The 13,330-nt window shown below is 36.5% G+C and overlaps 1 long non-coding RNA gene across 1 annotated transcript in view; it reads left to right on the forward strand.

Moving 5' to 3' along the window:
• LOC105379168 (uncharacterized) overlaps nt 1–13,330 on the forward strand; it is a 273,909-nt gene that overhangs the window by 182,594 nt on the left and 77,985 nt on the right. Inside the window, exons 5-6 of the long non-coding RNA XR_001742460.1 lie at nt 1,130–1,250; nt 9,524–9,609. This is a non-coding gene — a long non-coding RNA (uncharacterized LOC105379168). The remainder of the gene's footprint in view (nt 1–1,129; nt 1,251–9,523; nt 9,610–13,330) is intronic.

Raw genomic sequence — 13,330 nt, forward strand, 5'->3', positions numbered from 1 at the left:
AAGGCTTTTGAGAGACTATTGTGTCAGTAAATTGACCATTTAAATTTTCCAAGTGATGTCAGAATTAAAATTTGTGGAAGACTGCCCTCTAATGGATAAATAAGTATTTGATATGTTCTACAAAAAGAAAAAGGGTGCTTGAAAGACACACAAATCAAATTGCTATCCTAATGCTAGTATCTTATAGTGTCGTTTATGTTAGCATACATTTACAATAAAGCAGAGAGATTTTTTTGGAGTCCATACCATACCCTAACTGTTTATATTAAAGGTCATTCAGGGTCAATTTTTGCACAGCATAAAACATCCCTTTAATATGAATCTTGTATTTGTCTTCATGGGAATCATCATAAAACTTGGCAAAATCACCAGACAGCCTATATAATTATTGACAGTCCTGCAGAGATGGTGTCATTTCAAACACTGCCGATTATTTCTCACAGCTGAGAGTAAAAGTGGCAAATAATCCAATTACTTAAAGAAATAATTCAATACTATATGTTCTCTGCACCTAAAATACTTTTTAATGATCATCATACTAGGGTCTTCTTCATAGTTATGCAATGCAATTCTGTTCTTATCCCCGTTGTTGTTGAGCCCACCATCATAATATCTTACAAGCACACTACCAGTAAAGAGAGGAACAAATAGATATAAATGAGGTTGGAGTATGAGAATGGCAGAGTGAGACAAATGTTTAGACTTCAATGTTTCACACATTATGTAATATGTAAAATGACCCCTAGCTTAAAAAGAGGCTTTCTACTCTCACTGTCCCTTACCCTTAACTTATAAATGAAACTATTTTTTCCTTGGTAAATTGAGAAAAGTTCAATCCACCTTTGTGATGTTCTGTTTCAAAAGTCACTTAAACTCCCTTCCTTTATTCTTTATCTTTACAAGTGGGACAATGATGTTTGTCCTCTACTTGACCTCAAATATTGTGATAAAAAGAGATATTCTGTTTGCTTTTGACCACTAAACTCTGGCCATGAGTTCCTTGAGAACAGGGGCTGAGGCATCTCATCATTCTATGCCTGTTTTAGTGCAGTGCTTAGAGTGTTATAGACCATCTAAATATTTAGCGAGTTAATGAACATCCACCTTAGTATCTCTATTGGTTTTCTAGGGCTGCCTTAGTAAAGTACAGAGGTGAAGTGGAGCAAGATGGCAGAATAGCAAGCTCCTTTGATGGCCATCCGCACAAATGTCTACACAGAAAAAGCACCTTCACAAGAACCAAAAATCAGGTGAGCACTCATAGTACCTGGTTTTAACTTCATATCACTGAAAGATGCTCTGCAGATAGAAAAAACAGTCCTGAATTGGTGATGCCACCCCTCCCCCACCCCGCCAGCAGCTGTATGGTGCAGAGAGCATCTCTGGATGCTGGGAGAGTGAGAACACAGCAATTGTGAGGCACTGAACTCAGTGTTGTTCTGTTACAGCAGAAAGAAAAATCAGAGCTAACTCAGGTGACGCCCACCCACAGAGGGATAATTAACAGCAGCCCTAGCCAGAAGGGAATCGTGGATCCCAGTGGTCTCAACTTGAGTGCCTGCAAACCTTGCCACCAAGAGCTATAGCACATTGTGTCTCCAACTAAACTTGAAAGGCTAGGCCATAAGGACTGCAACTCTAGGGCAAGTCCTAGTGCTGAACTAGGACCAGAGACAGTGAACTGGGGGTGCATGCGACATACTGCGACACCAGCTGGGGCAGTCAAGGGAGTGTTGGCATCATTCCTCCTTTAATCCCAGGCTGCATAGCTTGTGGCTCCAAAAGAGACCCCTTCCTTTCACTTCAGGAGAGGAGTGGGAAGAGTTGGGAGGACTTTTTCTTACATCTAGGATACCAGGTCAGCCATAGCAGGATAGGGCATCAATCAGAGTTGTGAGGCCGACGTTCGAGGCCCAGCTCCCAGGTGACATTTCTAGACACACTCTGGGCCAGAAGGGAAGGGCCCTGTCCTGGGAGTATTCATCGCCTGCTAACTGCATCTTGTGGTTTGAATGCCAGCTTAGCAGCAGCACAATAGAACACAAGGTGGACTTCTAAGTGTTTTGACTCTAGTCCCTGACTCCCAGACAGCACTGCTGGACCCATCCAGGGCCTGGGGGACCTCTCCATCCTGAAGGGAAGGACACAAACCTGGCTGGCTTTGCCACCTGCTGATTGTAGAGCCCCAGGGCCTTGAGTAAACATAGGCAGTAGTCAGGGAGTGGTTACAGCAGGCCTTGGGTGACACCCAGTGCTGTGCTGGCTTCAGGTTTGACCCAGCACAGTCATAGTAATGGTGGTCACAGGGGTGCTTGTGTCACTCCACCCCCAGCTTTAGGTGGCTCAGAACAGAGAAAAAGTCGCTGTATGTTTGGGAGAAAGTAAAAAAACAGAACAAGAGTTTGTGCCTGATAATCCAGATCATCAAGGTGGTACCTCTATGAGTCTGCAAGAACCACAGTGTTAGTGGGCTTGGGTGCCCCCTAAAGTAGATAAAGCTTAGATTATAACACTCGAGTCCTTCTGAATATCTAGAAAGTCTCCCTAAGAAGGACAGCTACAAATCAGCCCTGACAGTGAAGACTACAATAAATGCCTAACTCTTCTATGCCCAGACACTGAAGAACATCTGCTAGCATCAAAGCCATCCAGGAAAACATGGCCTCACCAAATGAACTAAATAATGCATTAGGGACCAATCCTGGAGAAACAGAGTTATGTGACATTTAAGTCACATAATTCAAAACAGCTGTTTTGAGGAAACTCAAAGAAATTCAAGATAACCTAGAGAAGGAATTCAGAACTCTATCAGATAAGTTTAACAAAGACATTAAAATAATTATAAAGAATTAAAAATTCTGGAGCTGAAAAATGCAATTGGCTTACTGAAGAATGCATCAGAGTTCTTTACAGCAGAATTGATCAAGTAGAAGAAAGAATTAGCGAACTTGAAGACAGGCTATTTGAAAATACACAGCCAGAGGAGATGGAAGAAAAAAGAATAAAAAATCAAAACAAAGCACACCTACGGGATCTGGAAAATAGCCTCAAAAGCGCAAATCTAAGAGTTACTGGCCTCAAAAAGGAGGCAGAGAAAGAGTTAGGGGTAGAAAAATTATTCAAAGGGATAATAATAGAGAGCTTCTAAAATCTAAAGAAAGATATCAATATCCAAATACAAGAAAGTTGTAGAAGACCAAGTGGATGTAACCCAAAAAGACTACTGCAAGGCATTTAATAATCAAACTCCCAAAGGTCAAGGATAAAGAAAAAATCCTAAAAGTAGGAAGAGAAAATAAACAAGTAATGTATAATGGAGAGCCAAAGCATCTGGCAGGAGACTTTTTAGTGAAAACCGTACAGGCCAGAAAGAGAGTGATATGGCATATTTAATGCTGAAAAAAAAATAACTTTTACCCTAGAATGGTATAACTGGTAAAAATATTCTTAAAATATGAAGTCTTATCCTTGATTAAGACTTTCCCAGACAAACAAAAGCTGAGAGATTTCATCAATGCCAGGCCTGTCGTACAAGAAATGTTAAGGAGATTACTTCAATCAGAAAGAAAAGAACATTAATGAGCAATAAATAATCACCTGAAAGTGCGAAACTCACTGGTAAATAGTAAATACACAGAAAAACAGAATATTATAACACTGTAACTTTAGTGTGTAAACTACTCTTATCCTAAGTAGAAAGACTAATGATGAACCAATCAAAAATAGCAACTACAACAATTTTTTGAGACATAGCCAGTACAATAAGATATAAATAGAAACAACAAAAAGTTAAAAAGCACAGGGACAAAGTTAAGTCATAGAGTTCTTGTTAGTTTTCTTTTTGCTTTTTTGTTTGTTTATCCCAACAGTGTTAAGTTGTTATCAGGTTAAAATAATGGATTATAAGATAGTATTTGCAAGCCTCATGGTAACCTCAAACAAAAAAAATACAATGAATACACAAAAAATAAAAAGCAATTAATGAAAGTATATCACCAGAGGAAGTCACCTTCACTAGAGTAAGACAGGAAGGAAAGAAACAAGGAAGAGAAGACGATAAGACAACCAGAAAACAAATAACAAAATGGCAGGAATAAGTTCTTACTCATCAATTATAACATTGAATATAAATGGACTAAACTCTCCAATCAAATGACATAGACTGGTTGAATGGGTGAAAAACCAAGACCCATTGATCTGTTGCCTATTAGAAGCAGACTTCACCTATAAAGACACTAATAGACTGAAAATAAAGGGACATAAAAAGATATTCCATGCCAATGAAGCCAAAAAAGAGCAGGAGTCAGTATACTTATATCAGACAAAATGTATTTCAAGACAACCACCATGAGAAGGGACAAAGAAGGTCTCTATATAATGATAAAGGGGTCAATTCAGCAAGAGGATGTAACAAGTTTAAACAAATATATTTATATATATGCACTCACCATGGGAACATCCAGATATATAAAGGAAATATTATTAGAGAGAGATTCCAGTATCTCCATAAGATAGATGTTGGAGACTTCAACACCCCATTTTGAACCTTGGACAGATCTTCCAGACAGAAAATAAACAAAGAAACATCAGATTTAATCTGCGCTATAGACCAAATGGATCTAGTAGATATTTACAGAAAATTTCATTGAAGACCTGCAGAATACACATTATTTTCTTCAGCACATGGATCATTCTCAAGGACGGACCATATGTTAGTTTACAAAACAAGTCTTAAGACATTCAAAACGTTGAAATAATATCCAACATTATCTCTGACCACAATAGAATAAAATTAGAAATTAGTAACAAGCAAAATTTTGGAAACTTTACAAAGTTACGGAAATTAAACAATATGTTCCTGAATGACCAGTGGGTCAATGAAGAAATTAACAAGGAAATAGAAAGTTTCTTTAAGCAAATGATAATGGAAACACAACATACCAAATCTATGGGATACAGCCAAAGAAGTACTAAGGGAAGTTTATAGCTATAAGTGCCTACATCAAAAAAGAGAAAAAACTTCAAATGAACAATCTAATGATGCATCTTAAAGAACAAGAAAAGAAAGAACAAACCAAACAAATTAGGATAATAAATGAAATAGTAAAGATCAGAGCAGAAATAACTGAAATTGAAATAAAAAAAAAAAAGATCAATGAAACAAAAAGTTGGTTTTTTGAAAAGACGAACAAAATTGACCAACCTTTAGCCAGACTAACTAAGAAAAAATGACAGAAGCTCCAAATAAATGAAATCAGAAATAAAAAAAGAGACATTACAAGTGATACTGTGGAAATTCAAAGGATCATTAGTGGCTACTATGAGCAACTATATGCCAATAAATCAGAAAATCCAGAATAAATGGACAAATTCCTAGATCCATACAACCTACCAAGATTGAATCAGGAAGAAATCCAAAACCTGAACAGACCAATAACAAGTAACAAGATCAAAGCCATAATGAAAAGTCTCCTTAGTAAAAAAAACCCTGGACCTGATGGCTTCATGGCTGAATTTTACCAAAAATTTAAAGATGACTTAATACCAATTCTACTGAAACTATTCCAAAAAACAAATGAGGAGGGAATACTTCCAAAGTCATTCTACAAGGCCAGTATTACCCTAATTCCAAAACCAGACAAAGACATATCAAAAATAGAAAACTACAGGCCAGTATCACTGATAATTATTGATGCAAAAATCCTCAACAAAGTACTAGCAAAACAAATTCAACAATACATTAGAAAGATCATTCATCATGCCCAAGTGGAATTTATCCCTGGAATGCAAGGATGGTTCAACATATGCACATCAATCAATGTGATACATTATGTCAACAAAATGAAAAATAAAAACCATATTATCACTTCAATTGGTGCTGAAAAATCATTTGATAAAATTCACCATCCTTCATGATAAAAATCCTCAAAAAAACTGAATATAGAAGAAACATACCTCAATATAATAAAAGCCATATATGACCCATCCACAGCTAGTATCATATTGAATGAGGACAAACTGAAAGCCTTTCCTCTAAGATCTGGAACAGAACAAGGATGGCCCACTGTCACCACTATTATTCAACACAGTACTGAAAATCCTACCTAGAGCAATCAGACAAGAGAAAGATATAAAGGGCATCCAAATTGGAGATAACAAAGTCAAATTATCCTTGTTTGCAGATGATATGATCTCATATTTGGAAAAACTTAAAGACTCCACAGGAAAACTATTAGAACTGATAAACAAATCAGTAAATTTGCAGGGTACAAAATCAACATACAAAACTTAGTAGCATTTTTATAAGCCAACACTGAACAATGTGAAAAAGAAATAAAAAATAGTCATACATAAAATAAAATATCTATGAATGAAATTAATCTAGGAAGTGAAAGATCTCTACAATGGAAACGATAGAACACTGATGAAAGAAATTGAATAGGACACACAAAAAATAGAAAAATATTCCATGTTCATGGATTGGAAGAATTGATATTGTTAAAATGTCCATATTACCCAAAGCAATCTACAAATTCAATTCAATCCCTATCAAAATACCAATGATATTCTTCACACAAATAGCAAAAAAGTTTATATGGAACCACAAAAGACTCAGAGTAGCCAAAGCTATCCCCAGAAAAAAGAACAAAACTGGAGGAATCATATTGCCTGACTTCAAATTATACTACAGAGCTATAGTAAACAAGACAGCATGATACTGGCATAAAAAAAAGACACATAGACCAATGCAACAGAATAGAGAACCCAGAAACAAATCCACACACCTACAGCAAACTCATTTTTCACAAAGGTGCCAAGAACATACACTGGGGAAAACACAGTGTCTTCAATAAATGGTGCTGAGAAAAGTGGATATCCATATGCGGAAGAATGAAACTAGACCCCTATCTTTCACCATATACAAAAATCAAATCAAAATGGGTTAAAGACTTAAATCTAAGACCTCAAACTACAAAGCAACTAAAAGAAAACATTGGGGAAAAATCTCCAGGACATTAGTCTGAGGAAAGATTTTCTTGAGCATTAACCCACAAGCACAGACAACCAAAGCAAAAATGGACAAATGGGATTACACCAAGTTAAAAATCTTCTGCACAGCAAAGGAAACAATGAACAAAGTGAAGAGATAACCCACAGAATGGGAGAAAATATTTACAAACTACCCATCTGACAAGGGATTAATAACCAGAATATATAATGAACTCAAACAACTCTATAGGAAAAAGTCTAATAATCCAATCAAAAAATGGTCAGAAGATTTGAATAGCCATTTCTCAAAAAAAAAAAAAAAAAAAGACATACATATGGCAAACAGGCATGTAAAAAAGTTCTCAGCATCAATGATCATCAGAGAAATGCATATCAAAAGTACAATGAGATATCATCTCACCCCAGTTAAAATGGCTTATATCCAAAAGACAGGCAATAACTCATGCTGGCAAGGATGTGGAGAAAAGGGAACCCTTATACACAATTGGTAGGAATCTAAATTAGTACAACCACTATGGAAAACAGTTTGGAGGTTCCTCAAAAAACTAAAAGTTGAACTATCATGTGATCCAGCAATCCCACAGCTGGGTATATACCCAAAAGAAAGGAAATCAGTATATCTAAGAGATAGCTGAACTCCTATGCTTGTTGCAGCACTGTTCACAATAGTTAAGATTTGGAAGCAACCTAAGTGTCCATCAACAGATGAACGGATAAAAAAAGGTGGTACTTAACACACCATGGAGTACTATTCAGGCATAAAAAAGAATGAGATCCAGTCATTTGCAACAACATGGATGCAACTAGAGATCATTATGTTAAGTGAAATAAGTCAGACACAGAAAGACAAATAGTACATGTTCTCACTTATTTGTGGGATCTAAAAATCAAAACAACTGATGTCATGGACATAGAGAGTAGAAGTATGGTTACCAGAGGTGGGGAAGGATAGTGGGGGATTGGAGGGAGGGAGGTTGGGATGGTTAATTGGTACAAAAAAATAGAAAAAATGAATAAGACCTACTACTTGATAGCACAATTGGGTGACTATAGTCAATAATAACTAAAGCGTATATTTTAAAATAACTTACAGAGTGTAATTGGATTGTTTGTAACTCAAAGGATAAATGCTCGAGGGGATAGATACCCCATTCTCCGTTATGCGCTTACTTCACATTGCATGCTTGTATCAAAACATCTCATGTGCCCCATAAATATACACACCTACTATGTACCCATAAAAATTGTAAAAATTAAAAAAGAAAATTTTTTAAAAGTACAGAAAACTGGTAGCTTCAACAACAGAAAATCATTGTCTTGCAGTTCTGGAGGCTAGAAGTTCGAAATCAAGTTGTCGGTAGTGTTGGTTCCTTACGGAGACTGTGTAAAAAGGATCTGTTCCAGATCTCTCTTATTAACTTGTAGATGGCCATTTTCTTCCTGTGCTCTTCACATCATCTCTCCTCTGTACATGTCTGTTTCTGTGTCTAAATTTCCCCTTTTGATTAGGATAACAATCATATTGGATTAGAAGCCCACCCTACTCCAGTATAATCTCACTTTAACTTAACTGATTATGTCTACGATTACCCTATTTCCAAATGAGGTAACATTCAGAGGTACTGGGGGTTATGACTTCAACATATGAGGTTTTAGGGAACACAATTCAACCCATAATAGTATCCATTTTAAGAACAAATTACCAATCAGCAAGAAACCTAGGCTCTAAATAGGACCTGGTTCATAATATAATGCTACATATTTTTGGTAAGATCTAAATTCCCCAAAGAAAGACACTTAACCCTATAAATAGATGTTCATGGTGATCTCCCTTTCTCTTTCATTCTTGTCACTATTCCTTTCTCTCTACTCTGTTCTCTTTAAATAGACTACCCTCCAGCAAATATGAGGGATGTTACATATGCAGGCTAGACCAAAACTCAGGTTTCTCTAGCATTGTTTTGTCTGGCCCAATAAATTTATTTTTCCTGCTCTGCTATAGACCACATACAAGGTCCTTTAATAATACCAAACAATAGCTTGATAGAAGTACATATACCTATTTTTTAAAAATGTACAAATAAAATAATTGTATGTGAAAGTTCTCACCTGCTTTCCCCACCCCAATCAATCAAACCGTAAGTTGACAGTCTCTAAAAACTGAAGCAGAAGGAAAGAATGCAACATTTCTTTTGCTTTGGATCACATCTACCTCTTTGTTCAGGATGTATACTTTGACTTGAACCATTCATTATGTATTTTTGTTCCCGACCTTGATTATACACTTCAGATGTGAAATTGTTCACAGATGGCTCAGTGATGGTCTTTTGTTACTTATCTAGGGAAAAATATTTTGCATCTTTGCATGAATATCTAATAAGAAAAGAAATTATCTGTACACTAGGAAAGATTAATGGATCGGGGCAATGTAAATCTACTGAGGATATTCTGATAGTGAGCCTGGTCCAAAATATTTGATCAGTGAAACCATAATATTTCGATTTCTTTGCAGCCTGTTTTGTGCAACTTCCAAGTCAAGATTATGAACATTTTCAGACTTTTTGCAAGACAGAATTCAATGGATTAACAATCAGCCTTGTAAGTATGTATCTCAATAGGTACATGAGTTCCTGTTGATTAAAATTTCAATTTAACATACATAAACTCTTCAATCAAATGCTTGAGGTATAAGTGGAGAAGCTGTATTAAGTCTAAGTGTTTAAAGTTTTTTGTGTATATATATCCAAATTAGGAAACCTTTCTCCTTTCTCTTCAGGTGTTCAGCACTCTTCTCTTGTCTATTCATCAAATCTTACCCTTAGAGAAATATCTAAAACTCATTTATATATATATTCAAGTGTGTCTGATAACATCTTATAGTGTTACAACTTTCAAGGAGCATTGTAATTGTTATTATTATTATCATTGTTAGGTGTTTAATCTTTAACATATGGCACTAAAACTGTGCAGTGGGATTTCAGGCATCTGTAATATATTTGAGGGCACAAATTTAAAAAAATAGAAGAGACAATTTTTCTGCATCATTGAAGACCTGTGTTAGTAAAATCCATCTTTACTACCTAAGGCAGACTTTCCAACTAACAATTTGTGAACCATTAGATTGTCATGAAATTGATTTAGTGGGCTGCAACTAGTAATTTCTTAAACAAAATAGGACAGAACTCAGTTTAGAAGACTAAGGTAGAAAACACCAGATCTTGTGTGTATATGTACATATTATCGAACCAAAAGCTTAATTTAAAATACTGCTATTAATACTGAGTCTCTGTATAAAGTGTGTATTTTACTGGGTGTCGTTGTGGAAAACAGGTGAAAGGCACTGGTAGGTGGAAGATGCAGTTCTATTTAGACAATACTATAAAAGACATTCATAAGAAATACCTTAGGATTCCATCTAAGGACTGGCAACTCTCCTGTCAATTTCAAAAGAAAATTTTCCATATTTCTAATATTATCATTCAACAAATATTTACCGGGTGCTCACTGAGCCCAGTAGAGTTCCATACAAAAGACACAGTCAAATACAACAGTCTTTATTCTTGAGAAATCCACATTCCTCTAGGGAGATAGACCACAGAAACAAGTACAATGCAGTGTGAAACTGAGAGTGCTGATCACAGAGGGCCCTAGGTGGCAGAGGAAGGGCTACTGACCCAGACCAAAGAGATTTCCTGCAGGTGGTGACCCCAGACCTTAGTCTTCATGGGCAAATAAAGCTAACCAGCTCTATCAGTCTGGGTCCAGTCAGGGAAATGGAACTCACACTGTGTAGTTCAAGATGAGGGATTTATAACAAAGCTGCAAAGGTGCTGGAAGAGTTGATAGGGCACACAGCAAAAGGTGAAGAAATTCAGAGGTTAGCACCTCCAGGAAACCACTCAGGCTCCCTAAGCTTGGAGAGATAAAAAGAAGAGATGATTGTACCTGTGAGGAGCAAGGGCATCTGGGGCTGCCATGTGGGAACAGAGCTATAAAAGTGTGTGCCCAGATGGGAGCTGGAACCAGAGAGAACATGCAGTATTGCCTGGGAAGCTACCTGTAGCACAGATGAGGGGAAAATCCCCTGATTTCTGTCTTCTTTCTGCATACCAGTTTTTCATCCCTGCCTCCCAGTGCCCAAGTAAAGGAGTCTAAAGAATGTGTTTTGCACGGGTCAGCTCCCAGTGCTACTGAAGAGAGCTGGGAAAAGTTGGGGAATGGATGGGAGAGCAAATGGACAAATAAGAAGCAGAAGACCACGCAGGGATATTGAGGGACAAGAGAAAAATACAAGTCTGGAGGAGGTGTGAGCTGCTCAATATGGTTGGATCGCAGGCAGACAATGGAAACTGGTGAAAGATATTATTAGGCAGGTAACCCATCTCTAGACCATAGATAACCCTGTGATCATTCTAAGAAGTTTGCATTTTTTTGGTCAAGATCTGAGTCGTTGAAGGTTCTGGTGTGACTGTGTGTGTGTGTGTGTGTGTGTGTGTGTGTATACATGCAATGTTTTTGTTAAAATCAAATAAAAACACATACATGATTTTTTTGTAAGTCCAGAAGTAAAGAGCTGAAAGTTGTTGAAAACCACTGTGGTGCACACCATCCTTTCTTGCCCCATTTCTGCTTCTCAAAAGAATCCCTTTTAGCTACCTCTGTTTCAGTTATTTGAGTGGTTTCATTAGCAAGTTGACTTGTGATGCTACTTCATGATGCTATTTCTTCTTGATTTTACAAATGTAGACATTTTATCTTGAGGACTCCTTTGCTATAGGAGATAAGGACTTAGTACATTTATGTTAAAACCCCCATTTCTCTCTTTTACTTCTAATTTTTGATAAGTACACTATTATTTTTAGCTATTCTGTTTTTCTTTAACCCTTTGGAACTTTAAATGATCATTCCTTTTGTCCAAGCCATGTTTAACAATATCTGTTGATAACTCCTCCTACATTGTGCAGTGGGGATGTGAATGTTCCTATATTCCCTTTCACTGCTCATTACCTGCTTCCATTTCCTGACTTTTGCTAGCTTTAAATTCACTTATTAGTCTGGAGCATAATTACATATATATAAGCTGACTTCTGAGAGATGAAATATAACATATACTGTAAAGTGGCGAAATCCTTCAAGTCTTTCTGACCCTAGAGTCCACTTTTAATACCACTATTCTCCATTCCAAGGTGGAGTGTACATTAATCCTTTAGATTCAAGGCTATGTTGGAAACAGATGATGTGATTAAAAACCATATCCTTACTAATGTCTCCATTATTTTTTTCTAGAATAAAGTGGTCATTTAGGCAAAAGTATTTTAACTAGCCTTGAAATAATAGAACTTGTTTTCCTATTCTAAAGTCAATTTAAGGGGAAATTAGTTTATATATAAGTTCATATCTCAATGATAAAATAATCACAGAAAACTGATTTGTCTTTGGAAAAATAAACAAAATCCTTCTCAAAAGAGAAGGTAGAACTGTCAGTGTGATTATACCTTTCTCTATGCAGCTGATGAGGCCTTAGAAAGTTGCCTGCTAATCACATCTTTAATAAACAGAATTGCATTGCAGGATCATTAATGGACCTCACAATTCAAAATAATTCCATGATGACTCTTTTTTATGGTACAGAATTCTTTTATGGTACAAATAATCATCTTCAGTTTATTTTTCAGTCAATCTAAGTTTTCACATATTGACTTTGCTTAATTCACAACACAGCTGTGTTTATGGAGAAAACTGAACTTTTGTAGATGAGTAACATTATCATCATTCATTTTCTCCAGACTATGAAGAATAGGCAAAGATGACAGCTATGATCCTTCAGGCTTGCCAAGAGCTTACCAGAGTGATCTTTTATAAACATGAGATGGATATTTTCCCTAAGACACACACACTTTCAGTTCCTTTAAAAAACTTTCCATGAAGCCTGAGCCAGGGAGGAAAGACAGATAAGACTGCTGTCCACCTCTATCTGCCTCCTGTCGTCCTTGCTTCCTTCACACATCCTCACCTCTAAGATTAAGAGAGAAGCTAATCAATATTTTTTAGAGTCTCTCAAATTAGAAGTGGCCACTTTCTGCAGCCTCTTCAGCAGTCCCAATATGGCTCTCGGTTGTTTCATGGGGTCATCAGTCTTAAAATAGAGTGAGACCTGGTGGTACAGGTTTGATAAATTTTGCTCGGTAAACTCAGCAGATTTACCTATCTACTGAAGGTAGACCATAATATTAGGCAACTTAAGACTTCTGATGATGCCATAGAGAAAATAATAAGTTTCCAGTAAAGCCATTTCTGGGAATCCAATCTAACAGACGTT

This window comes from Homo sapiens, chromosome 5 (genome assembly GCF_000001405.40).
Source record: "Homo sapiens chromosome 5, GRCh38.p14 Primary Assembly".
NCBI classification, from domain to species: domain Eukaryota; kingdom Metazoa; phylum Chordata; class Mammalia; order Primates; family Hominidae; genus Homo; species Homo sapiens.